A 26,718-nucleotide genomic window follows, 5' to 3' on the forward strand; every position below is an offset into this window, starting at 1 on the left:
GGCAGAGTGAGACTCCATCTCAAAAAAAAAAAAAAATTAAAAATAAATAAATAAATAAACTGAGAGTAGCAGTTTACGGTCTCCGCTACTCAGCAAATCCATCTTTTGGTTTCATTGTTTTGTCCCAAAGCTTCAATCAGGCTCTTGGTGACTGTTTACTGTCTGGTGTAAGGAGCAGGCCAGTGGCACCCTTGGTATTTATAGGAGGGCGATAGTTGCCTCCAGATCCACTGAATGTGGCAGGCTAGTGTTCACAGAACTTTCAGATGCACCAGACTCTAGGAAGAAGACAAGAGGAGACAGAAGAAATTAAATTAATCAGAGAAAGGCAAGATCCCATTTCCCTGATTTGATATGACTTCGCTGAACCTCCAGAAAAATCCTCAAGCTGACCTGGGCTTCCGTTTACGCAATCCTCGGAAAACAATGACCATATGAGAAATGTTTGCACAAGCTTTGAGTTGTTTTTAAAACCCCATAAATCCATAAATGTTGACATTTATTACTCTTAATGTGAGCATTCTTTCTAAGAGGATATGTTCCATATTTAAATTTATGAGGTTATTTTTCCTCCTTAGAATCAGAAACGATAGCATATTGCAAACAGAAACTGGCAGGCTCTTGCTCTCTCCCTCTCTTCCTTCTCTTCTCAAGCTTGGGTGTTTGCATTCAATCATAAAGGGTGTGATGAATTCTTCAAAACTGCATTAAAGCAGCGGCCATAAATGAAACTGCCAAAAAGAACGTGAAAAATAGTACTGGCTGCTTTCTGAAATGTCCCTGTGTGACCTTAGGTTTCTGGAGATTTTGTGCAAGTGTGAATTAAGCATTTGATTTTATCTTAGGAATAATGATGCTCGCATGAAACAGGCAAGGAAGGACAGAAAGAGAAGGAAAGAGAGAAACTGATTGAAGAAAAATAAACTTCACATGGAACAAACTTCACATGAAAACATGAGATTTTTTCTTTTTTTGGGATGGAGTCTCACTCTGTTGCCCAGGCTGGAGTGCAGTGGCACGATCTGGGCTCACTGCAGCTTCTGCCTCTAGGGTTCAAGGGATTATCCTGCCTTAGCCTACCAAGTAGCTGGGATTACAGGCGTGCACCCCCCATACCTGGCTAATTCTTGTATTTTTAGTAGAGACGGGGGTTTCGCCATATTGACCAGGCTGGTCTTGAACTCCTGACTTCAAGTGATCCACCCATCTCGGCCTCCCAAAGTGCTGGAATTACAGACGTGAGCCACCATGCTTGGCCGAAAACAGAAGTTTGAAAAAATTTATTGAAAAACATTTTGCCTATGATTCCAGTATCATAAACATACTATAGGACTCCAAAACCCAATAAAATTATACTGTGATCCTGAAAGTATCTTAAGAGGCATTTAATATACAATGTCCATGAATATCAGGTTGAACAGTGTGTTTTTAAAATATACATTTGTAAATGCTGTTTGTATATTACATATATTAACCCTTTGTCTGTCATTCAGATTGCAAACAATTCTGCCACTACTTTGTATTGTTTTGATAACTTTCCCCCACAAAATGTTACTTTTTAATGTAGTAGGATATGTGTAATTTTATTTTTACAGCTTTCAGCTTTCTTGTTTTGATTAAAATAGTCTCCTCAGCTCCCAAATTATACATATAGTCTCCTAAATTTTCCTTTGGAATTTTTAGGTGGTTTTTAAATTTTATTTATTTTTATTTTTTGAGACACAGTCTCACTCTGTCGCCCACCTGGGCTGGAGTGCAGTGGCGAGATCTCTTTGTGTGGCACACAAGGCCCCACCAGGGGTCTGATCCTGCTTGATGGGATCTTGATTTGCATAAACCATACCCCTGCTGGGATCCCAGCTGTGGTAGATTGTGTTATTGTTGAAAATATTTGCTTTCTCTCCCTTGGGTAGATCATACCTCCCTGTCTCGCTGATATCACGCTTGATGTCTGACTGGCAGTGCCTCTCTCTGATAGTATTTTATATCCAGGGCGACCTTGTGACTTGCTTTGGCCAATAAAATTTGGGTGGAAGGGACGCACATCGTCTCTGGAAAGAAGCTTCAAGAGCCAGCTGGTGGTTTTGCCATCTGTCACCCTCTACCACCATGAGACTGGCAATGTCCCAGACGGGGGTGGTTTGGCCAGCCCAGGTCCCAGAGTGAACATGGCATGGATGAGAGCACAGACATTGAAATGGGCAAGCGGCATGAGCAAGAAATACACCTTTGCTGTTGTAAGCCATATAGCCTTTAGGACTGTTTGTTACTGCAGCATAACCTGACACTTTCTGACTGCTACACCAAACTCGCTGGCTTTGAGAGACTTTACCCTTTTTTGCTTTTTTTTTTTTTGAGATGGAGTTTTGCTCCGTCTTGTACAGGTTGGAGCACAGTGGCATGATCTTGGCTCAATGCAACCTCTACCTCCTGGGTTCAAGTGATTCTCCTGCCTCAGCCTCCTGAGTAGCTGAGATTACAGGCGCCTGCCACCACGCCTGGCTAATTTTTATATTTTAGTAGAGATAGGGTTCACCATGTTGGTCAGGCTGGTCTCGAACTCCTGACCTCAGGTGATCTACCCACCTCGGCCTCCCAAAGTGCTGGGATTATAGGCGTAAGCCACTTCTCCCAGCCGAGGAACTTTACTCTTAAAGCCAAGTATCAGCTTGTCATCTACCCATCAAGCAAGCTGATTCCCCCTACCCTAGCCACCATGACTTCAGAGACAACTCTTGTGGGTCCCTGGACTCCCATCAGCTGATATTATCGGGACAACTGTAGCTGCAATTCACATAATCACACAGTGGCCAACCTTCCCAACCTCCTCCTGCCTCACTCACTCCTCCTGGGAGAAAGACTGACCTATTCCCCAGCCCTAGTTTCCTTTTTTTTTTTTTTGAGACAGTCTCATTCTGTTGCCCAGGCTGGAGTGCAGTGGCATGATCTTGGCTCACTGCAGCCTCCACCTCCTGGGTTCAAGCGATTCTTGTCCCAGAGCCTCCCTAGTAACTGGGACTACACAGGTGCGTCACCCTGTTCAGCTAATTTTTGTATTTTTAGTAGAGACGGGGTTTCTCTATGTTGGCCAGGCTGGTCTCACACTCCTGACCTCAGGTGATCTGTCCAGCTAGACCTCCCAAAGTACTGGAATTACAGGCGTGAGCTACTGTGTCCAGCCCATAGCCCTAGTTTCAACATGTCCCTCCCTAATCCTTGATATTTGGGGGCTGGTCCCGGCCTGTACGTTTCTGGATTCACGTCTTCCCCCAGGTACCTGTGACAAAAGTGACCTTGGAGGGAGACCAGTGCCCCCCACTGACTTCCTGTGCATTCCATTTCAGTGTCACTAGGAAGGGACCCGATGGCAAGTGTCACTGATGATTGGGCCGACACTGCCATCGTCAGCATAGTCTTCCCACAGCTCTGCTCCTTCCTTCTCCCCAGCAATCCTCTTGCCTGTCTTGAGCTCTGGCTGGAATCTGATTAATTTCTGGAGCCAGCTCCCAGTCTCAGTTGTGTGTGGGCAGCCTACAGTCAGCAGCATCTGACATTACAGCCATGTCTCCCAACCCCAATAGAACACTCTTTTCTCTTCCATCTTCTCCAGCTTCCCCACGAAAGCTGGACCCCAATGTGGGCATGGGGCATTCTCAAACCGCAGACAGAGGATTCCTGCAGTCTTAGCTCATCCATCACCTCCCTGAGTGGGGCGGGGCTCCTACCCAGGCTCTGCAGGGAAAGTGGCCACTTGTCCCCATTCAGAATGCAAAGATGTCACCTTTCCCTCTCCCTTCTGGGCAGGCGTTCAAATGACTGTGCTCCCAGCTAGGAGATAGTAAGTTTGCATCATGGGAGAGATTTCAGTAATGAGCACCATTAATTTCAGGAGTGGGCCAGATGTGGTGGCTCACACCTGTAATCACAGCACTTTGGGAGGCCAAGGTGGGAGGATTACTGGAGGGCAGGAGTTTGAGACCAGCCTGGCCAATATGGTGAAACCCCATCTTTACTAAAAATACACAAAAAAATTAGCCAGGTATGGTGGCACATATGCCTGTAACCCCTGCTACTTGGGAGGTTGAGGCAGGAGACTCTCCTGAACCCATAGGCAGAGGTTGCAGTGAGCCGGGATCACTCCATTGCACTTCAGCCTGGACGACGGAGTGAGACTCCACCTCAAAAAAAACAAAAAACAAAAAAAATTCCAGGACTGGAAAAGGTCACTTCCTGATTGCACATGACTTCCTGGAGGAGGTGAGGAAGGTGTAGAACTGTAAAGGAAAGGTGGGATTTTCACAGGTGAGAGAAAGCGGAGGAGCAGGAGGGCACTGCAGGTGTAGGAATGGCTCAGGCAAGGGCCTGGAGTGGAGCAGAGGCTGAGGTTGGGGGTCTGGTGGCTGGAGCAGAAGGGGGTGTGGGTATTAGAGAGGTGATGGACAGAAGGGGTGGTGGATGGGGGTAGATCTGGGATCCATCTCCCCAGGAGCCTGGTGATCTTTACTTACAACAGGAATCCATTTTCCATTTACGTCTGTGTCTCCAGAACAGTGATGGGAATTTTATGGTGTTTGATACTTAAAAAAAAAAAAAAAAAAGACTGGAAACCCCCGAAACCTCCAGCTTGGTTTGCAGCGTCTTGGCTGGCTGTGGTGCTTGACCATGTGGCTCAGCAGTTTCCACAGAGACTGCTCTGAAAAACAACAACAAAACTTTTTGCAAACGAGTATCTTCATGCTGGGCAACTTGATCAAATGTATTAAGAAATTGAAGTGGAAGACCCCAAGAGTAGCCCTGCTCCCTGTTGGCCCCTCCCCTGAGTTACCCCCAGTGGTGTCATTGTCGGGCTCTGAGCTCCACCTCATTTGGACTCTTTAGCTTTTCATTTCTTTGCTCACTTCCTCAACTTGACCACACACACTGAGGCCAGGGCTATACAATGTGTCCCCTGGATTTTGGTGCAGCCATTTGCACAACCGATGCGCAGGCAGTGTCACTTGGTGGGTATGCACAGCGCCTCTTATTTAGGGTCCCTTCAGTGACTCTCGATAAGGACAAGGTCCCCCAGGAGACATGAGAGGCACAGCCCCTCACGAAGATCTCCCAGCGGGCCTGGCCTCAGAGAGTTCGCTGGCTGCCTTTGCAATCCTGTCCCTTGGGCCTGCTGGGAAGAGGAAGAGCTGCAGTTTCTCTCCGCAAAGCTTCTTCCCTTAGGGATGGTCAGACCTATTTAGATCTATTTTTCTTTTTATCTTTTTTTTTTTTTTGTAGAGATGGGTCTCGCTATATTGCCCAGGGTGGTCTTGAGCTCCTAGCCTCAAGTGATTATCCCGCCTTGATCTCCCAAAGTGTTGGGATTACAGGTGTGAGCTACTGTGCCTGGTCTGACCTAATTTTATTTTATAATTTTTTTTTGAGACGGAGTCTCACTCTGTCACCTAGGCCAGAGTGCAGTGGCGGGATCTTGGCTTACTACAACCCTCACCCCCTGGGTTCAAGCAATTCTCCTGCCTCAGCCTCCTGAGTAGCTGGGATTACAGGAGTGCACTATCATGCCCGGCTAATCTTTGTATTTTTAGTAGAGACGGGGTTTCGCCATGTTGGTCAGGCTTGTCTCAAACTCCTGACATCAAGTGATCCGCCCACCTCGGCCTCCCAAAGTGCTGGGATGACAGATGTGAGCCACTGTGCCTGGCCCTGACCTAATTTTATATTCATAATTTTTTTTTTTTGAGACAGGTTTTTGCTTTGTCACCTAGGCTGGAGTGCAGTGGCTCGATCATGACTCTTTGGAGCCTTGACCTCCTGGGCTCAGGTGATCCTCCCATCTTGGCCTACCAAGTAGCTGAGACCACAGGGGCACACCACTATGCCTGGCTAATTTTTTTTGTGTTTTTTTTTTTTTTTTGGTAGAGATGGGGTCTTGGCATGTTGCCCAGGCTGGCCTGGAACATTTGGGCTCAAGAGATCCTCCTGCCCCGGCCTCCCAAAGTGCTGGAATTACAGGCGTAAGCCACTGAATCTGGCCTGAGCACAGTGTTCTGTAGGGTGACTATTCCATCTTCTTTCTGGGTTGAAACAATCGTTTGGGCTGTTTCCAATTTCCATCAAAATTGCCATAATCGAGAGTCAATAAACATCCTCATGAATGCTGCCTTGAAGGGTTTCTTGGACACAGAGATGGAGGGTGAAATTGCTGGGTCCTAAGGCACTCATTTAAAATTTTAATAGATGCCACCAAATTACCCCTTTAAAGCAACCCAACCCACCTACACACCCACCAGCTGGATAAGAACATTTGTTTTACTTTATCTTGTTTTTGAAATGAAGTGTCGCTCTGTTGCCCAGGCTGGAGTGCAGAGGCACGATCTCAGCTCATTGCAACCTCTGCCTCTGGGGTTCAAGCAATTCTCCTGCCTCAGCCTCCCAAGTAGGTGGGATTACAGGTGCCCACCCCACGCCAGGCTAATTTTTGTATTTTTAGTAGAGATGGGGTTTCACTATGTTGGCCAGTCTAGTCTCGAACCCCTGACCTCAAGTGATCCTCAAATTACTCTTTTAAAACAACCCAACCCACCTACACATCCACCAGCTGGGTAAGAACGTTTATTCTTCACACCTTTGCCCAAACTGGATAGGTCAAACAATGTGCTGGGTCCAAACCAGTTTTTTTTTTTTTTTTTTTTTTTTGAGATGGAGTCTCGCTCTGTTGCTCAGGCTGGAGTGTAGTGGTGTGCTCTTGGCTCACTGCACCCTCCACCTTCTGGTTTCAAGCGATTTTTCTGCCTCAGCCTATTAGTAGAGATGGGGTTTTGCCATTTTGCCCAGGCTGGTCTCGAACTCGTGACCTCAAGTGATCCACACCCCTCAGCCTTGCAAAGTGCTGGGAATACAGGCGTGAGCCACCGCGCCGGGCCCAGACTAGTATTTTTGAGTGTTTCCTTTGGTCATCCATGTTTCCTTTTCTGGGACCTAGCCCCAACTCTTCAGATAATAAAATGACTTCAGATGGAATTCTGTGTTAATTACTCCCACGGTTTTTTCTGGCCTATGGGGTCCTGCGGGGGACAGGATGGAGCAGGGGCAGACTGAGGGACAGAAGGGGCTTGAAGGAGAGCGAGGTGCCACTGTCTCCCCAGCAGGAGGAATTGAAACTCAGGAGAGGCTGCAGGAGTAGGACCAGACTCCAGAGTCCAAGCCCTCGGTCAAGGGTACCCTCCACGGGTGTCGGGGAGGAAGGGCAGCTTCCAGGCAGTTCCATGTGGGCCAGGCAGGCTGTGGGGCTGAGCCAATAGCAGCTCTTCCTGCCTGACACTTCCTGGACTTGTCCTATCTTTTTCCCCCGTGTCCCGCTTCCCACAGCGCTGACGTCTGTCTGTCCGGGTGCAGGGAGAAGGGAGGAAGAGGGGAGAGGTGGGGCGGTGCAAAGGTGAGGCTGTGCTCAGCCCTGACGCTCAGCAAAACCGATAACCAGCACTTTCATTACGTGCACGCCCCAGGGCCACGTCCCTGCCGCTGTCTTGGTCCTGAAGCCTGTTCTGCCCCAGCCCCCTGCCCGCTGGGCCCATGCAGCTGTTGGGGCTCCTCGGCCTCCTCTGGATGCTCAAGGCCTCCCCGTGGGCCACAGGTAAGGGGGAGAGGCGGAAGGGGGTTGGAGAAAAGCTCCTGATGTGATGTTCCAGGAAAGGGGAGGGAAAAGTGGCTGTAAGGCCTGGGGAGGGGGGATAAGAAGGCACCGCTTGGGGCTCTGGGTGCAGGGAGAACCGAGGCACGGCCTGACTGGGGGAGGGGGCGGTGAGGAGAGGTTTCTTCCAGAGCTCCAGGTGCAGGGAAAACCGAGGTTGGGAAAGAGTGAGGGAGCTGGGTCTCTGCCACTCTCCACCAAGCACTGAGCAGGTTGCAGCGGCTGAGCCCCAATCTGTATCTGCAGCTGGAGGGTAGAGGGTGGGATTTACGTCTTCCCAGAGCAGTGCCCTTCCTGTCTTGACTCCTTCTGTCACCTGCCTCACGCCCCCAGCTTGAGTGTCCCCTTCACACTGGCCTCTCCCTCCCTGACAGCCCTCTAACTTCTACCCCTGGTCTCGGTCCTCTGGTTTCAGCCTCTCTGCCTTTTGTCCCCCGGCGGCTCCTCCCCAGCTCTGCCGTCACTCTCTTACCCCGGCCAGGGCCCATGTGTCTGGGTACAGCTGTTGGTACCAGGGCCGGGGCAGGGAGCTCCTGATGTCCACTTCGCTTCCAAGGGTGCGTCTGAGACTACCCGTCGTGGGGTCCCAGGCTTCTCTCTTCTGCCCTGCAGGAACACCTCGCAATTCCTCTATACTTCTCTTTTCTCTGTACTTCAGTGTCTGCTTCTGATCCCCGATCCCAGGCCACCCAGCCTACAGGCCCATGAGTCCCCTTCTCAGTCACCTCCAGGGCCACATCCTGGAGCCAAGGGCTGTAGCCTGGGGATTCTCATAATCCCTGACCCCACTTCCCTGGCACCCACGAGCTAGGTTGAGACGTGACACCCCAGCTCTCAGCCACAAGATGGGCTGTGCCCGAGGTGAGGGGTAGCAGGTCGGGTACCTCCCACTTCCCATCTGCTGTGGCTGCCTGTCTTCCTTGTCCCTGACACCCCCGACAGCCGGATCTCTGATCCTAACTCTGACAAATTGTGAAATGGGTTGAAATCCACATGCTGGGGTTCATGCTTGTAAACTAATGAATCCCACGGCCAAAAGGGAATAGTATAGAAAAATATGTCTATTTGTGTGATGAACACTCACTGCTAAGCCTTAAGGTCTCCAGAACTCATCACGCCTGACTGCTGAGGTAGCTCCTTCTGGAAGTTTCCTTTTCTATGCTGTCTCTCTGCCTCTTCACCTAGTCCTCACTCCATGCCCTTTGAAGTCATTAGTGTGTGAGCTTAGCCTGTTTCTCTTTGGTGTTCTCTGGGCAGTTTTTTGTTTTTGTTTTTGTTTTTGTTTTTGATGGAGTCTTGCTCTGTCACCCAGGCTGGAGTGCAGTGGCACCATCTCAGCTCACTGCAGCCTCTGCTTCCTGGGTTCAAGCGATTCTCCTGCCTCAGCTACAGGTACACGCCACTACGCCTGGCTAATTTTTGTATTTTGTTTTAGTAGAGAAAGGGTTTCACCATGTTGGTCAGACTGGTCTCGAACTCCTGACCTCAAGTGATCTCCTGCCTTGGCCTTTCAAAGTGCTGGGATTACAGGCATGAGCCACCGTGCCTGGCCCTCTTTGTTCAGCTTTCCCTGTCTCCTGGTTTTTGTGATGCGCCCCCTGCCAGGACATGGCTGGGTTCTCTCTTTTTCTCTTTGAAAGCGGAGTCAGCCCAGACAGCAGCAGGGTGCCGGGAGAAGCAGTGGTGGGAGCAGAAGGTTAATGGGGGGATGGGAGCACTCCAGGCAGTAGCAGGGGGAGGAGAGGAAGGGGCAGAGGGAGGAGGAGCCTGGGTGTGACCAGAGGAGGGAAGGGAGGGGAGGGAGGCTCTGCCCAGCTCGGCTATATCAGGACAGGAGGACCTGCCATGACAAGGCCAAGGCCCGGTGAGGAATGAGGGCTCCCATGCCCCACTGCTCCCCTAGGAGCAGACAGGCAGTCGTCTCCAGCACCACAAAGCACCCAGCTCCAAGCTGCCTCTGATGCAGGAGTCAGCTGTAATATGCCCTGCCCTCTGTGATGCTGCCTGGAAAATGGGTGAGTGAGTAGCTTACATGAGTGATGTAACAAAATGACCCACGGATTTACCAGTGGATTCCTCTGCTCTGCCGCCAATGCAGGAACTTTATCCACGGCCACATCCATCTCTCAAGTGCCTTTCCCCAGAGCAGAAGCAGCCAGCGCTGTGCTCAGCAATTCTCCACACTCCAGAGACCTGGCTGGGTGGCCACTTGGTGTCCCCCAGCTCGCCTCTCCTGCTCCTGGCCACAGGGAAAATGCACCTATGACACTCACTACCTCCCCCCATGACACACTCATCTCTGAAACATTGCTCAACTCTCCAGTCAGTTCCAACACCTCAACCACCCCGACGTCCAAGTTTGCCTTCAAGGTTGAAACCACTCCACCCACCGTGTTGGTCTATTCAGCCACCACTGAGTGCGTGTATCCAACGAGCTTTATAATCACCATCTCCCACCCCACCTCCATCTGTGTGACCACGACGCAGGTGGCCTTCACCAGCTCTTACACCTCGACTCCCGTGACACAGAAGCCAGTGACCACCGTCACCAGTACTTACTCTATGACCACTACTGAGAAAGGAACGTCAGCCATGACATCTTCTCCCTCTACCACCACTGCAAGGGAAACTCCCATAGTGACAGTGACACCCTCCTCTGTGTCAGCCACAGACACAACCTTCCACACTACAATCTCGTCTACAACTAGAACCACAGAAAGGACTCCCCTGCCCACTGGAAGCATCCATACAACCACGTCCCCAACCCCAGTATTTACTACTCTCAAAACAGCAGTGACTTCCACTTCCCCCATCACTTCTTCAATCACTTCCACAAATACAGTGACTTCTATGACAACGACCGCCTCCCAGCCCACAGCCACTAATACATTGTCATCACCCACTAGGACCATTTTATCTTCCACACCTGTCCTGAGCACAGAAACAATCACCAGTGGTATCACAAACACCACCCCCCTATCCACCTTGGTGACCACACTCCCCACTACCATCAGCAGGTCTACACCTACATCTGAGACCACCTACACTACTTCTCCCACCAGCACTGTCACAGACTCCACTACCAAAATCGCCTACTCCACAAGTATGACAGGTACATTGTCCACAGAGACTTCTCTCCCACCCACCTCTTCCTCTCTCCCAACCACAGAAACAGCCACGACTCCTATGACAAACTTGGTAACCACCACCACTGAGATCTCCTCCCACAGTACTCCCAGCTTCTCTTCATCAACCATCTACTCCACAGTCAGCACATCCACAACTGCCATCTCCTCACTTCCCCCTACCTCAGGTACTATGGTGACTTCCACAACCATGACCCCATCTTCTCTGAGTACAGACATCCCTTTCACAACACCAACAACTATCACCCACCATTCTGTGGGCTCTACCGGTTTCCTGACTACAGCAACAGACCTCACATCAACATTCACGGTTTCCAGTTCCTCAGCAATGTCCACGAGTGTCATTCCATCTTCCCCCAGCATTCAGAATACAGAAACCTCATCCCTTGTCAGCATGACCTCTGCCACTACTCCCAATGTGAGACCAACTTTTGTAAGTACACTCAGCACTCCTACAAGTTCCCTCCTGACGACCTTCCCAGCAACATATTCATTTTCATCTTCCATGTCTGCCAGCAGTGCTGGGACCACTCACACAGAGAGTATCTCCTCACCTCCAGCCAGCACCAGTACACTCCACACAACAGCTGAATCCACCCTGGCACCCACTACCACCACCTCATTCACAACTTCCACAACTATGGAACCACCTTCAACCACTGCAGCAACTACAGGAACAGGTCAGACCACCTTCACCAGCTCTACAGCCACATTTCCTGAGACCACCACACCGACTCCTACAACTGACATGTCCACAGAATCTCTCACAACAGCCATGACTTCTCCTCCCATCACTTCATCAGTCACTTCCACAAATACAGTGACTTCTATGACAACTACGACCTCTCCTCCCACAACCACCAATTCTTTTACATCACTGACCAGTATGCCTCTGTCTTCTACACCTGTCCCAAGCACAGAAGTAGTCACCAGTGGCACCATAAACACAATCCCTCCATCTATCTTGGTGACCACACTCCCCACTCCAAATGCTTCATCTATGACTACATCTGAGACCACCTATCCTAATTCTCCGACTGGTCCTGGTACAAACTCCACGACGGAAATCACCTATCCCACCACTATGACAGAGACATCATCCACTGCCACCTCTCTTCCACCCACCTCTCCCTTGGTCTCAACTGCAAAAACAGCCAAAACTCCTACCACAAACTTGGTAACCACCACCACCAAGACCACCTCACATAGTACCACCAGCTTCACTTCTTCAACCGTCTACTCCACAGCCAGCACATACACAACTGCCATCACCTCAGTTCCCACTACGTTGGGTACCATGGTAACTTCTACATCCATGATCTCATCTACTGTGAGTACAGGTATCCCTACCTCACAACCAACAACCATCACTCCCTCATCCGTGGGCATCAGTGGTTCATTACCTATGATGACAGACCTCACCTCAGTGTACACAGTCTCTAACATGTCTGCAAGGCCAACAACTGTCATTCCCTCATCTCCCACTGTCCAGAATACAGAAATCTCAATCTCTGTTAGCATGACGTCTGCTACCACTCCCAGTGGAGGACCAACTTTCACAAGTACTGAGAACACTCCAACAAGGTCCCTCCTGACAAGCTTTCCAATGACACATTCATTCTCTTCTTCTATGTCTGAAAGTAGTGCTGGGACCACTCACACAGAGAGTATCTCCTCACCTCGAGGCACCACCAGTACACTCCACACAACAGTTGAATCCACCCCATCACCCACTACCACCACCTCATTTACCACATCCACAATGATGGAACCACCTTCATCCACTGTATCAACTACAGGCAGAGGTCAGACCACCTTTCCCAGCTCTACAGCCACATTCCCTGAGACCACTACACTGACTCCTACAACTGACATTTCTACAGTATCTCTCACAACAGCCATGACTTCTCCTCCCCCCGTCAGTTCTTCAATCACTCCCACCAATACAATGACTTCTATGAGAACTACAACCTATTGGCCCACAGCCACTAATACATTATCACCACTCACCAGTAGCATTTTATCTTCTACACCTGTCCCAAGCACAGAAATGATCACCAGTCATACCACAAACACCACCCCTCTATCCACCTTGGTGACTACACTCCTCACTACCATCACCAGATCTACACCTACATCTGAGACCACCTACCCTACTTCTCCCACCAGCATTGTCTCAGACTCCACGACTGAAATCACCTATTCCACAAGTATAACAGGTACATTGTCCACTGCCACTACTCTCCCACCCACCTCTTCCTCTCTCCCAACCACAGAAACAGCCACGATGACTCCTACCACAACCTTGATAACCACCACCCCTAATACCACCTCCCTTAGTACCCCCAGCTTCACTTCTTCAACCATCTACTCCACAGTCAGCACATCCACAACTGCCATCTCCTCAGCTTCCCCTACCTCAGGTACCATGGTAACTTCCACAACCATGACCCCATCTTCTCTGAGTACAGACACCCCTTCCACAACACCAACAACTATCACCTACCCTTCTGTGGGCTCTACCGGTTTCCTGACTACAGCAACAGACCTCACATCAACATTCACTGTTTCCAGTTCCTCAGCAATGTCCACAAGTGTCATTCCATCTTCCCCCAGCATCCAGAATACAGAAACCTCATCCCTTGTCAGCATGACCTCTGCCACCACTCCCAGTTTGAGACCAACTATCACAAGTACTGACAGCACTCTAACAAGTTCCCTCCTGACGACCTTCCCAAGTACATATTCATTTTCATCTTCCATGTCTGCCAGCAGTGCAGGGACCACTCACACAGAGACTATTTCCTCACTTCCAGCCAGCACCAATACAATCCACACAACAGCTGAATCCGCCCTGGCACCCACTACCACCACCTCATTCACCACATCCCCAACGATGGAACCACCTTCAACCACTGTAGCGACTACAGGCACAGGTCAGACCACCTTCCCCAGCTCTACAGCCACATTCCTTGAGACCACCACACTGACTCCTACAACTGACTTTTCTACAGAATCTCTCACAACAGCCATGACTTCTACTCCCCCCATCACTTCTTCAATCACTCCCACCGATACAATGACTTCTATGAGAACTACGACCTCTTGGCCCACAGCCACTAATACGTTATCACCACTCACCAGTAGCATTTTATCTTCTACACCTGTCCCAAGCACAGAGGTGACCACCAGTCATACCACAAACACCAATCCTGTATCCACGTTGGTGACTACACTCCCCATTACCATCACCAGGTCTACACTTACATCTGAGACCGCCTACCCTAGTTCTCCCACAAGCACTGTCACAGAGTCCACAACTGAAATCACCTATCCCACCACTATGACAGAGACATCATCTACTGCCACCTCTCTTCCACCCACCTCTTCCTTGGTCTCAACCGCAGAAACAGCCAAAACTCCTACCACAAACTTGGTAACCACCACCACCAAGACCACCTCACATAGTACCACCAGCTTCACTTCTTCAACCATCTACTCCACAGCCAGCACACCCACCACTGCCATCACCTCAGTTCCCACTACCTTGGGTACCATGGTGACTTCTACATCCATGATCCCATCTACTGTGAGTACAGGTATCCCTACCTCACAACCAACAACTATTACTCCCTCATCCGTGGGCATCAGTGGTTCATTACCTATGATGACAGACCTCACCTCAGTGTACACAGTCTCCAGCATGTCTGCAAGGCCAACAAGTGTCATTCCTTCATCTCCCACTGTCCAGAATACAGAAACCTCAATCTTTGTTAGCATGATGTCTGCTACCACTCCCAGTGGAGGACCAACTTTCACAAGTACTGAGAACACTCCAACAAGGTCCCTCCTGACAAGCTTTCCAGTGACACATTCATTTTCCTCTTCCATGTCTGCCAGCAGTGTAGGGACCACTCACACCCAGAGTATCTCCTCACCCCCAGCCATCACCAGTACACTCCACACAACAGCTGAATCCACCCCATCACCTACAACCACCATGTCATTCACAACATTTACAAAGATGGAAACACCTTCATCCACTGTAGCAACTACAGGCACAGGTCAGACTACATTCACCAGTTCAACAGCCACATCCCCTAAGACCACCACACTGACTCCTACCTCTGACATTTCCACAGGATCTTTCAAAACAGCCGTGAGTTCTACTCCCCCCATCACTTCTTCAATCACCTCCACATATACGGTGACTTCGATGACAACTACCACCCCTCTAGGGCCCACAGCCACTAATACGTTACCATCATTTACCAGTAGCGTTTCATCTTCTACGCCTGTCCCAAGTACAGAAGCGATCACCAGTGGTACCACAAACACCACCCCTCTATCTACATTGGTGACCACATTCTCCAATTCCGACACCAGTTCTACACCTACATCTGAGACCACCTACCCTACTTCTCTTACTAGTGCTCTCACAGATTCCACGACCAGAACCACCTATTCCACCAATATGACAGGTACATTGTCCACTGTGACCTCTCTTCGACCCACCTCTTCCTCTCTCCTCACCACAGTAACAGCCACAGTTCCAACAACAAACTTGGTAACCACGACCACCAAGATCACCTCACACAGTACTCCTAGCTTCACTTCTTCAATCGCAACCACCGAGACCCCCTCACACAGTACTCCCAGATTCACTTCTTCAATCACCACTACCGAGACCCCCTCACACAGTACTCCCAGATTCACTTCTTCAATCACCAATACCAAGACCACCTCACACAGCTCTCCCAGCTTCACTTCTTCGATCACCACCACCGAGACCACATCCCACAATACTCCCAGCCTCACTTCTTCAATCACCACCACCAAGACCACCTCACACAGTACTCCCAGCTACACTTCTTTGATCACCACAACCACCACCACCTCACACAGTACTCCCAGCTTCACTTCTTCCATCACCACCACTGAGACCACATCCCACAATACTCCCAGCTTGACTTCTTCGATCACAACCACCGAGACCACATCCCATAGTACTCCCAGCTTCACTTCTTCGATCACCACCGAGACCACATCCCACAGTACTCCCAGCTTCACTTCATTGATCACCATCACCGAGATCACCTCACACAGTACTCTCAGCTACACTACCTCAATCACCACCACCGAGACCCCCTCACACAGTACTCTCAGCTTCACTTCTTCAATCACCACCACTGAGACCACCTCACACAGTACTCCCAGCTTCACTTCCTCAATCACCACCTCTGAGATGCCCTCACACAGTACTCCCAGCTTCACTTCTTCGATCACCACCACTGAGAACGCCACACACAGTACTCCCAACTTCACTTCTTCAATCACCACCACCGAGACCACATCCCACAGTACTCCCAGCTTCACTTCTTTGATCACCACCACGGAGACCACCTCACACAGGTGGGGGACCACCGAGACCACATCCTACAGTACTCCCAGCTTCACTTCTTCAAATACCATCACTGAGACCACCTCACACAGTACTCCCAGCTACATTACCTCAATCACCACCACCGAGACCCCCTCAAGCAGTACTCCCAGCTTCAGTTCTTCGATCACCACCACTGAGACCACATCCCACAGTACTCCCGGCTTCACTTCTTCAATCACCACCACTGAGACTACATCCCACAGTACTCCCAGCTTCACTTCTTCGATCACCACCACTGAGACCACCTCACATGATACTCCCAGCTTCACTTCTTCAATCACCACCAGTGAGACCCCCTCACACAGTACTCCCAGCTCCACTTCTTTAATCACCACCACCAAGACCACCTCACACAGTACTCCCAGCTTCACTTCTTCGATCACCACCACGGAGACCACCTCACACAGTGCTCACAGCTTCACTTCTTCGATCACCACCACCGAGACCACCTCACACAATACTCGCAGCTTCACTTCTTCGATCACCACCACCGAGACCAACTCTCACAGTACTACCAGCTTCACTTCTTCGATCACCACCACCGAGACCACCTCACACAGTACTCCCAGCTTCAGTTCTTCAATCACCACCACTGAGACCCCCTTACACAGTACTCCTGGCCTCACTTCGTGGGTCACCACCACCAAGACCACCTCACACATTACTCCTGGCCTCACTTCTTCAATCACCACCACTGAGACTACCTCACACAGTACTCCTGGCTTCACTTCTTCAATCACCACCACTGAGACCACCTCAGAGAGTACTCCCAGCCTCAGTTCTTCAACCATCTACTCCACAGTCAGCACATCCACAACTGCCATCACCTCACATTTTACTACCTCAGAGACTGCGGTGACTCCCACACCTGTAACCCCATCTTCTCTGAGTACAGACATCCCGACCACAAGCCTACGAACTCTCACCCCTTCGTCTGTGGGCACCAGCACTTCATTGACTACAACCACAGACTTTCCCTCTATACCCACTGATATCAGTACCTTACCAACTCGAACACACATCATTTCATCTTCTCCCTCCATCCAAAGTACAGAAACCTCATCCCTTGTGGGCACCACCTCTCCCACCATGTCCACTGTGAGAATGACCCTCAGAATTACTGAGAACACCCCAATCAGTTCCTTTAGCACAAGTATTGTTGTTATACCTGAAACCCCAACACAGACCCCTCCTGTACTGACGTCAGCCACTGGGACCCAAACATCTCCTGCACCTACTACTGTCACCTTTGGAAGTACGGATTCCTCCACGTCCACTCTTCATACTCTTACTCCATCAACAGCCTTGAGCACGATCGTGTCAACATCACAGGTTCCTATTCCTAGCACACATTCCTCCACCCTTCAAACAACTCCTTCTACTCCCTCATTGCAAACTTCACTCACATCTACAAGTGAGTTCACTACAGAATCTTTCACTAGGGGAAGTACGTCTACAAATGCAATCTTGACTTCTTTTAGTACCATCATCTGGTCCTCAACACCCACTATTATCATGTCCTCTTCTCCATCTTCTGCCAGCATAACTCCAGTGTTTTCCACTACCATTCATTCTGTTCCTTCTTCACCATACATTTTCAGTACAGAAAATGTGGGCTCCGCTTCTATCACAGGCTTTCCTAGTCTCTCTTCCTCTGCAACTACCAGCACTTCTTCAACCAGCTCCTCTCTGACCACAGCTCTCACTGAAATAACCCCCTTTTCTTATATTTCCCTTCCCTCCACCACACCCTGTCCAGGAACTATAACAATTACCATAGTCCCTGCCTCCCCCACTGATCCATGTGTTGAAATGGATCCCAGCACTGAAGCTACTTCTCCTCCCACCACCCCATTAACAGTCTTTCCCTTTACTACCGAAATGGTCACCTGTCCTACCTCCATCAGTATCCAAACTACTCTTACTACATATATGGACACTTCTTCCATGATGCCAGAAAGTGAGTCCAGCATCTCACCCAATGCTTCCAGTTCCACTGGCACTGGGACTGTACCCACAAACACAGTTTTCACAAGTACTCGACTGCCCACCAGTGAGACCTGGCTGAGCAACAGTTCTGTGATCCCCCTACCTCTTCCTGGCGTCTCTACCATCCCGCTCACCATGAAACCAAGCAGTAGCCTCCCGACCATCCTGAGGACTTCAAGCAAGTCAACACACCCCTCCCCACCCACCACTAGGACTTCAGAGACACCAGTGGCCACTACCCAGACTCCTACCACCCTTACATCACGCAGGACAACTCGCATCACTTCTCAGATGACCACACAGTCCACGTTGACCACCACTGCAGGTTGGACCTTCTGCCTCTCTGTTCCCCTCCTTCCTCCCCTGCAAAATTCCTGTGTCACTGAGGTCAGGCTTTATCCTGAGCTTCCCTTTCTTTCTGTGTTTTCCAGGCACCTGTGACAATGGTGGCACCTGGGAACAGGGCCAGTGTGCTTGCCTTCCGGGGTTTTCTGGGGACCGCTGTCAGCTCCAGACCAGATGCCAGAATGGGGGTCAGTGGGATGGCCTCAAATGCCAGTGCCCCAGCACCTTCTATGGTTCCAGTTGTGAGTTTGCTGTGGAACAGGTGGATCTAGGTGAGTTGCCAGAGCTATGCCTTCTGCACTTCCTCCCACAGGGTGTCACTGACTCTCCCCAGACTTATCCCTCTGTGGGGCCTGGAGGCACCCATGCCTTTTTGCCCGGTCCTTCCCTCCCTGCCATCTCTCCCATGCCCTCCGCTGCCCTGTGTCATGCTCCTCTCCGTCCTCACCCTTAGGAGGTGGCTGGGACTACCCTCCCTCCTGGGCCCATCTCCTGACTTGGGCTGCTTGGAGCTGTATCAGTTTCCAACTGCTGCCGGGCCAACAAACACAAATCTGGCTGCTGGAACAACACGACATTATCATGTTAGAATTCTGTAGATTAGAAGTCTGATGTGGGTGTCACTGGGCTGAAATCAAGGCGTCACCAGGGCTGTGTTGTCTTTCAGCGGCTCCAGGGAAGAATCCATTTTTTTGCCCTTTGCAGCTTCTGGAGCCTCCCACAGCAAGCCTGCATCTCTCTGTGTCTTTCTCCCATAGCCTCATCTCCCTCTAATGAACTCTGGCCTCCTCAATTGCTTCTCCCACTGTTAAGGACCCTTGTGATAACTTTGCCTCCTCCCCAAATAGTCTATGTTAATTTTCTCAAGATCAGCTGATTACGCCGGGCGGGGTGGCTCACACCTGTAATCCCAGCAGTTTGGGAGGCTGAGGGGGTAGGATCACCTGAGGTCAGGAGTTGGAGACTAGCCTGGCCAACATGGTGAAACTGTCTCTACTATTAGTTGGGCATGGTGGCAGATGCCTAAATCCTCACTATTCAGGAGGCTGAGGCAGGAAAATCGCTTGAATCCAGGAGGTGGATATTGCAGTAAAGCGAGATTTCGCCACTGCACACTAGCGTAGATGACAGAGGGAGAGTGAGACTCTGTCTTAAAAGAAAAAAAAAAATCAGCTGATTGTCTTATAATCCCTGCACTTTGGAAGGCCGAGGAGGGAGTATCGCTTGAGGCGAGGAGTTCAGGACCAGCCTGGGCAACACAGCGAGACCCTCATCTCCACAAAAAATTTTAAAAACTTACCTCACGCCTGTAATCCCAGCACTTTGGGAGGCCGAGGCGGGCGGATCACGAGGTCAGGAGATCGAGACCATCCCAGCTAAAACGGTGAAACCCCGTCTCTACTAAAAATACAAAAAATTAGCCGGGCGTAGTGGCGGGCGCCTGTAGTCCCAGCTACTTGGGAGGCTGAGGCGGGAGAATGGCGTGAACCCGGGAGGCGGAGCTTGCAGTGAGCCGAGATCCCGCCACTGCACTCCAGCCTGGGCGACAGAGCGAGACTCCGTCTCAAAAAAAAAAAAAAAAAAAAAAAAAAAAAAAAAAAACTTACCTGGGCATGGTGGCTCATGCCTGTGGTCCCAGTTATTTGGAAGGCTGAGGTGGGAGAATCACTTGAGCCTGGGAGTTCAAGGCTGCAGTGAGCTATGATCCCCCTATTGCACTTCAGCCTGGATGACAGAATGAGACCCTATCTCAACAATAAAAAAAAGTTAGGCTGATTAGCAATCTAATTCAATCTGCACCCTTGATCCTCCCTTGCCATGTAGTATAGCATAGTCACAGTTCTGGGGATTAGGACATGGACATCTTCCCACTATGGGGGCAGCCAGGAGGGACCACAGGCTGACCGCTATCTTTCTGCCTGCTTTCACTCATCTCCACACAATTCCTTCCTTCCTCTCGCTCTCTTCTTTCTTTTCTTCTTTTCTTTTGTCTCTTTCTCTTTTCTTTTTTTCTTTCTCTTTTTCTTTCTTTCTTTCTCTTTCTTTTCTTTCCTTTCTTTTCTTCTTTCCCTCATCTTCACACAATGCTTTCTCCCTTTCTTTCTTTCCTTCTTTCTTTCTCTTTCTTTCTTTCTCTCTCTCTCTCTCTTTCTTTCTTTCTTTCTTTCTTTTTCTCTCTCTCTCTCTATCTTTCTTTTTCATTTTCTTGAGAGACAGTCTCACTCTGTGGCCCAGGCTGGAGTGCAGTGATGCAATCTCGGCTCACTACAACCTCCGCCTCCTGAGTTCAAGTGATTCTCCTGCCTCAGCCTCCTGAGGCATAATGCATCCTGGAATTCCTACATCTGTTCCTGCCTCTGGGCATCAGTCCTCAGGGATCTTGGAGGGGAGCAGCAGGAGGAGCCTGTGGGTTGGGGTGGTGGTGTTGGTGGCTTCAGACAAAAGCAGACAGAGAAGTGACTGGGGACATGCATGCTCTGTGTAGATGTAGTGGAGACCGAGGTGGGCATGGAAGTGTCTGTGGATCAGCAGTTCTCGCCGGACCTCAATGACAACACTTCCCAGGCCTACAGGGATTTCAACAAGACCTTCTGGAATCAGGTAAAGGGCAAAGAGAGGGGATTTTTTTTTTTTTTTTGAGGTGTAGTCTCGCACTCTCACCCTGGCTGGAGTGCAATGGTGCGATCTTGGGTCACTGCAACCTCCGCCTCCCGGGTTCACATGATTCTCTTGCCTCAGCCTCCCAAGTAGCTGGGATTACAGGTGCACACCATGACACCTGGCTAATGTTTTGTATTTTTAGTAGAGACGGGTTTTCACTATGTTGGCCAGACTGGTCTCGAACTACTGACTTTGTGATCCACCTGCCTCGTCCTCCCAAAGTGTTGGGATTACAGGCGTGAGCCACGGCACCCGGCCGGGGAGGGGAATTGAAGGGTCTTCCCTGGAGCTGGGGTTGGGCGTCTGGGTCCCCTCAGGTCTGCAGGTTCGGACGTGAGCCCAGGGATCCTTGGTGTTTCAGATGCAGAAGATTTTTGCAGACATGCAGGGCTTCACCTTCAAGGGTGTGGAGATCCTGTCCCTGAGGTAGGAGACCCATCTGGGGATGCGGAGGCGGTGTTGGGTGGGGGAAATGTGCGCACACAAAAAACCCATTCCTTTCTTTTGTAATCATCAGATTTTATAAAGAGGGGTGGAGGGGGTACATAAGGAATCACTCCCTGGGTATTTTTTCGGATCGTTTTCTGGGGCCATTTATCTGGAGGAGGGGTGGCACCTCTCTTCTTCAGCACACTGGAAGGAGAGAAGTTGCAGGGACATGTGGGAAGGTGGTGCCTGGATTGATGACTTTGTCCCCCTCTGGCTGGCCCCTGCTCTACTGAGTGGGTCAGCATTAGAAAGAGAGAGAGAGAAAGAGAGAGAGGGAGAGAACGCACGTCTAGGGGCGCCCGGTGGATGATGGCTTGATGCAACAAGAAGAGAACGTCAGGCCAGATGTGGTGGCTCACACTTGCAATCCTAGCACTTTGGGTAGGCTAGGCGGGTGGATCACCTGAAAGCAGTTCAAGACCAGCCTGGGCAACATAGTGAGAACCCATCCCTACAACAGTAAAAATAGTAATAATAATAATAATAATAAAATGATTAGCCAGGCATGGTAGTGCACACCTGTAGTCCCTGATACTTGGGAGGCTGAGGAGAAAGGATCACTTTAGCCCAGGAGTTGGAGGCTGCAGTGAGCTACAATGATACCACTGCACTCCAGCCTGGGTGACAGCAAGACTTTGTCTCTATAAAACACACAGAGAGAGGAAGTCAATCATGTCAGTCATTCCTTGTCCTGCCTTCCCAGGCAGACCAAGTCAGGAATGCTGGCAGCCCCTTCTGAAAAGGATGCACGTGGCATCCCAACTCATGACCTCTGCTCCCTTCCCCCTTCTGGTGCACTTTGGGTTGCTTCTGGAGGTGCCCCTCCAAGGACCCATATGTTCCTGGCTGGGGCACTCTCTAAGGCTGTGGACCCCTCAGGAATGGCAGCATCGTGGTGGACTACCTGGTCCTGCTGGAGATGCCCTTCAGCCCCCAGCTGGAGAGCGAGTATGAGCAGGTGAAGACCACGCTGAAGGAGGGGCTGCAGAACGCCAGCCAGGATGTGAACAGCTGCCAGGACTCCCAGAGTGAGCCCAGGCTGGAGGGAGGGGCCAGGGCCTGAGGTGTCACCCCAGCCCACTCCAGCTCAGCCAGGGGGCCACTGGGCTCAGGTGCCAGCCCTGTGGTACCTCTGGCAGGTTGGGAGAAGGGGAATAAGTCCACACACAACGGTGTCAAGGGTGGGGCTAGGGAGGGTCTCCCCGTGACCTCGGTACTGGGAAAGAGACCCCCTGATTGTCATGGTCAGCATTTCCCGGATGGCTGAAGACCTCGGATTATTCAGGGGAGATGAGGCAGGCAACAGGAGTCTTCGCCTGTGGCTCTCTCCGTCTGGGAGAGGGCTCTCCCAGACGGAGAGAGCCCTCACTGCCCTCCCTGTGCCTATCCTGCCTCCTGGCGCTAACCCCTTGACCTTAACCCCTTGATCTGCCCCGCCCATTCCATCTGTGCCTGTGTTTCCGCAGCCCTGTGTTTTAAGCCTGACTCCATCAAGGTGAACAACAACAGCAAGACAGAGCTGACCCCGGCAGGTAAGGGTGGGGTAAAGGGCTGAGTGGTCTCCCGCGGCTATGATCCGGGCTACCAGGGACATTTGCCCATTGAAGCCTGTGGGCAGGGAGAGACCTTTGGGGGAGGCAAGTCATGTGGCCCAGGGCGGCCCTTCCTGGCGCTGGTTAGTGGCTTCCACCTGAGGACAGCAGGGGCCACGAGGAGAGGGTGAGGGTGCTGCGGGTGGCCTCCCCTCATCGAATCCCAGGGTCTACCCCACAGCATCCCACCTCGGAAATGGAATCCTCCTCGCGCATATTCAGAGGCACCGTTATCAGGCCCCTGAATAGAATGGATGAGGTCCTTGTCTCTGTGCATCCCCCTCCCCAACCCCCAGCCATCTGCCGCCGCGCCGCTCCCACGGGCTATGAAGAGTTCTACTTCCCCTTGGTGGAGGCCACCCGGCTCCGCTGTGTCACCAAATGCACGTCGGGGGTGGACAACGCCATCGACTGTCACCAGGGCCAGTGCGTTCTGGAGACGAGCGGTCCCACGTGTCGGTAAGGCCCCGCTCACCATCGGCATCAGCCGAGCCCCTCCCACTCATTCTAGGATGAAGCCCTGCCCCATGCTCCGCCCCGGCTCCGCGCCCTGGGCCTACAGTGGAGCCTCGTCCCCAGAGTGCCGCTCCAAGCCCATCCCCGTTGCCCTACAGTGGAGCCCTGCCCTGGAGCTCTGCTCCTTTGATGGGGTTGAGTCCTGTCCCCTAATTCTGGGAGAGAACCCCGCCCACTCATTCTAGGGTGGGGCCCCGCCTCCTCGTTCTAGGGTTGAACCCCGCCCCCTCCTTCTAGGGTGGAGCCCTGCCCACTTGATCTAAGGTGGAATCCCGCCCCCTCACCTAGGGTAGAGCCCCGGCCCCTCGTTCTAGGGTGGATTCCCAGCCCCTTGTCTAGGGTGGAACCCCCCGCTGCCCTAGGCTGGAGCCCCGCCCCCTCACCCGCCCCCGCGGGGCCCAGGTGCACGGGTGGACCCCGAGCCCGGAGGTGAAGAGGGTCTGACCCTGCGATCTCCCGCAGCTGCTACTCCACCGACACGCACTGGTTCTCTGGCCCGCGCTGCGAGGTGGCCGTCCACTGGAGGGCGCTGGTCGGGGGCCTGACGGCCGGCGCCGCGCTGCTGGTGCTGCTGCTGCTGGCGCTGGGCGTCCGGGCGGTGCGCTCCGGATGGTGGGGCGGCCAGCGCCGAGGCCGGTGAGCGTGCGGGGGGCGGGGCCGGGGGGCGAGGGCAGCCAAGGGGTCCCAGGCGGGCCGGCTCTGTCTGACCGCGCGGCGGCCCCACCTAGGTCCTGGGACCAGGACAGGAAATGGTTCGAGACCTGGGATGAGGAAGTCGTGGGCACTTTTTCAAACTGGGGTTTCGAGGACGACGGAACAGGTGAGTCCTGCCTCCTGGGGAAGCAGGCAGAGGCTTTCCTGGGCACCACTGCGAGGACAGACGCCCTCCCTGCCTTCCTCGCATTTACTCCGTCCCCCTCTCCCTTCCGTCCCCTCCCTCTCCCCTTCTCTTTCTCCGCTCCTCTCTCTCTCTAGACAAGGATACAAATTTCTATGTGGCCTTGGAGAACGTGGACACCACTATGAAGGTGAGGGGCTAAAGAGGGGGACCCCAAGGAACTCTCCCAGCCTCCATTCCAGAATCCCTCCCCGACCCCCACCAGGGCAGGGAGGGGGCTGGGCTCGGATCAGCAGTGACCTCCCTGTCAGCCCAAACCAGTGGCTCCGCGTTCCCGTCCCTCACTGTGACTCTGACAGGTGCACATCAAGAGACCCGAGATGACCTCGTCCTCAGTGTGAGCCCTGCGGGGCCCCTTCACCACCCCCTCCGCCCTGCCCCGGACACAAGGGTCTGCATTGCGTCCATTTCAAGAGGTGGCCCCAGGACGCGGGCAGCCCAGGCTCCTGCTGTTCTTGGGCAAGATGAGACTGTTCCCCCAAATCCCATCCTTCTCCTTCCAACTTGGCTGAAACCCACCTGGAGACGCAGTTCACGTCCAGGCTCTTCCACTGTGGAATCTTGGGCAAGTCAGTAACGAGCCTCAGTTTCCTCACCTGCAAAACGGGTACAGCATTCCTGTATGATAGCTCACGCCGTTGTTGTGAAAACCACATAGACTTGGTCAATTCTCGGTCCTACTCTGCCCTCCCGTCTCAGCCCTCGTGTTGCCATTGCCTCTCTCGGATCCTCCAATCCTCACGTCCTTCACCTGGTCTCTGGCCCTGGTTCTTATTTTCTCTCAATTCCCTACTGCCTGTTTCTTACTTTGAACCTGGAGGCAGCCTGCAGCCCCATCCCATCTCCTGCCCTCTCCTGATCTAACTCCCTGCTGCATCTCTTGCTCTCATTCCTTAGACGTCCTCCCCTTTTGACCCCGTTCCTTCATCCATCCTGCACCCCAGTCCCCCAGCCCTAAATCCTCCCTCCTCTCCTCACATCCTGGTCCCTAGCAAGGTATAGATAGCCTCTGTGTCTTAGGATACCCAGGTGCTGTTCTCCCCGTCACCCCGTTGCCCAGTTCCCCGTTTCTCTTGCTCTCATTCCTTGTATCTTCTCCCTTCTGAGCCCGTCCATTCATCGGTTCTGCCCCCGACTCCCCCTGACCTAAATACCCCAGCTGCTGTTCCCCCCATCACCCTGCTGCCCAATTCTTTATTCTCCACCCCTTTCTCTCACCCCTGGAGCCCTGCGGGTGGGGGCAGGGCATGAGTTCCCCAGTCCCCAAGGAAAGGCAGCCCCCTCAGTCTCCCTCCTCCTCATTTCCTTCGATCCCCCTCCCTTCTTGCCTCCCCTCTGCCTTTTAAACCCATCCCCTCCGATTCCCCTCCTCCCCCTTCTCTTCCTGGTGTCACCTGGATTCCTGCAGTAACTCTGAGCCCTTGAAATCCTCAGTCGCCTTGGCGGGGAAGATTGGCTTTGGGGACAGGAAGTCGGCACATCTCCAGGTCTTCATGTGCACAATACAGAGTTTATTGTAAAAAGCAGCAGCTCTCTGTCTGTCTCCTTTTCACCCCCTCAGTGGTCTCTGTTTGATCAGAGAACAGGGATTTCCAGAGGTGGCACTGTAGGAGGATCCTGGGAGCACCTGTGTCTCCTGGGGACAAAGGAGGGGGTCTGTGGGCAGCCCTTGGGGGCCATGAGGTTCCTCACAGAAAACACAGAGGTTGGGGGGACCCATTTTATTGGGGAGTGACTCTGGGCAGGGGCCCCTTGGGCTTTGTCATCTGTGCTCTCCCCACCCCCACCACTGCCCTGACCTTGATACTGGGGGCTTAGGGAGCAATTAGACCCCTGGTGTTGGTTCAGGGAGTTGGGTGGTCCAGGGGCTAGGGCTGCCTGGTCCAGCCACCTTTTGCAAGGATGGGTAAAGCTGAGCCTCCCCAAAGATCTTGATCCCCCACAAGGCCCCCAAA

The 26,718-nt window shown here is 52.0% G+C and overlaps 1 protein-coding gene and 2 long non-coding RNA genes across 3 annotated transcripts, besides 7 other annotated features; 1 reads left to right on the forward strand and 2 right to left on the reverse strand.

Annotated features, from left to right (window-relative positions):
• Positions 1 to 20,257, reverse strand: LOC105375431 (uncharacterized). The gene is made up of 3 exons (XR_007060457.1): positions 20,215 to 20,257; positions 4,509 to 4,693; positions 1 to 278 (listed from the first exon to the last, which is right to left on the reverse strand). It is a non-coding gene; the product is annotated as an uncharacterized LOC105375431 (long non-coding RNA).
• Positions 1,543 to 2,092: an enhancer, noted in NCBI's record as "OCT4-NANOG-H3K27ac hESC enhancer chr7:100541229-100541778 (GRCh37/hg19 assembly coordinates)". NCBI's record gives its function as "activates a minimal SCP1, AML or CMV promoter by ChIP-STARR-seq in naive H9 embryonic stem cells {active_cell/tissue: H9 hESC(naive)}" and the evidence as "EXISTENCE:reporter gene assay evidence [ECO:0000049][PMID:30033119]".
• Positions 7,015 to 7,993: an enhancer, noted in NCBI's record as "H3K4me1 hESC enhancer chr7:100546705-100547685 (GRCh37/hg19 assembly coordinates)". NCBI's record gives its function as "activates a minimal SCP1, AML or CMV promoter by ChIP-STARR-seq in primed H9 embryonic stem cells {active_cell/tissue: H9 hESC(primed)}" and the evidence as "EXISTENCE:reporter gene assay evidence [ECO:0000049][PMID:30033119]".
• MUC3A (mucin 3A, cell surface associated) lies at positions 7,476 to 26,289 on the forward strand. Its single transcript, NM_005960.2, has 12 exons — positions 7,476 to 7,627; positions 9,783 to 18,587; positions 18,694 to 18,879; positions 21,093 to 21,208; positions 21,630 to 21,694; positions 22,637 to 22,785; positions 23,224 to 23,289; positions 23,646 to 23,808; positions 24,328 to 24,501; positions 24,594 to 24,685; positions 24,841 to 24,893; positions 25,063 to 26,289. Exons 1-12 carry the CDS (start codon positions 7,567 to 7,569, stop codon positions 25,102 to 25,104), a joined length of 9,972 nt encoding a protein of 3,323 aa, NP_005951.1. The 5' UTR covers positions 7,476 to 7,566; the 3' UTR covers positions 25,105 to 26,289.
• Positions 7,994 to 8,972: an enhancer, noted in NCBI's record as "H3K4me1 hESC enhancer chr7:100547686-100548665 (GRCh37/hg19 assembly coordinates)". NCBI's record gives its function as "activates a minimal SCP1, AML or CMV promoter by ChIP-STARR-seq in primed H9 embryonic stem cells {active_cell/tissue: H9 hESC(primed)}" and the evidence as "EXISTENCE:reporter gene assay evidence [ECO:0000049][PMID:30033119]".
• Positions 9,023 to 9,568: an enhancer, noted in NCBI's record as "NANOG-H3K4me1 hESC enhancer chr7:100548721-100549266 (GRCh37/hg19 assembly coordinates)". NCBI's record gives its function as "activates a minimal SCP1, AML or CMV promoter by ChIP-STARR-seq in naive H9 embryonic stem cells {active_cell/tissue: H9 hESC(naive)}" and the evidence as "EXISTENCE:reporter gene assay evidence [ECO:0000049][PMID:30033119]".
• Positions 16,916 to 17,416: an enhancer, noted in NCBI's record as "H3K27ac hESC enhancer chr7:100551103-100551603 (GRCh37/hg19 assembly coordinates)". NCBI's record gives its function as "activates a minimal SCP1, AML or CMV promoter by ChIP-STARR-seq in naive H9 embryonic stem cells {active_cell/tissue: H9 hESC(naive)}" and the evidence as "EXISTENCE:reporter gene assay evidence [ECO:0000049][PMID:30033119]".
• Positions 21,771 to 22,749, reverse strand: LOC124900622 (uncharacterized). Its single transcript, XR_007060456.1, has 3 exons — positions 22,662 to 22,749; positions 22,045 to 22,208; positions 21,771 to 21,901 (listed from the first exon to the last, which is right to left on the reverse strand). It is a non-coding gene; the product is annotated as an uncharacterized LOC124900622 (long non-coding RNA).
• Positions 24,157 to 24,296: a silencer, noted in NCBI's record as "silent region_18472". NCBI's record gives its function as "represses an Ori minimal core promoter by ATAC-STARR-seq in GM12878 lymphoblastoid cells {active_cell/tissue: GM12878}" and the evidence as "EXISTENCE:reporter gene assay evidence [ECO:0000049][PMID:35858748]".
• Positions 24,317 to 24,526: a silencer, noted in NCBI's record as "silent region_18473". NCBI's record gives its function as "represses an Ori minimal core promoter by ATAC-STARR-seq in GM12878 lymphoblastoid cells {active_cell/tissue: GM12878}" and the evidence as "EXISTENCE:reporter gene assay evidence [ECO:0000049][PMID:35858748]".

The sequence above is a fragment of the Homo sapiens genome, chromosome 7, assembly GCF_000001405.40.
Source record: "Homo sapiens chromosome 7, GRCh38.p14 Primary Assembly".
In the NCBI taxonomy this organism is placed as follows: domain Eukaryota; kingdom Metazoa; phylum Chordata; class Mammalia; order Primates; family Hominidae; genus Homo; species Homo sapiens.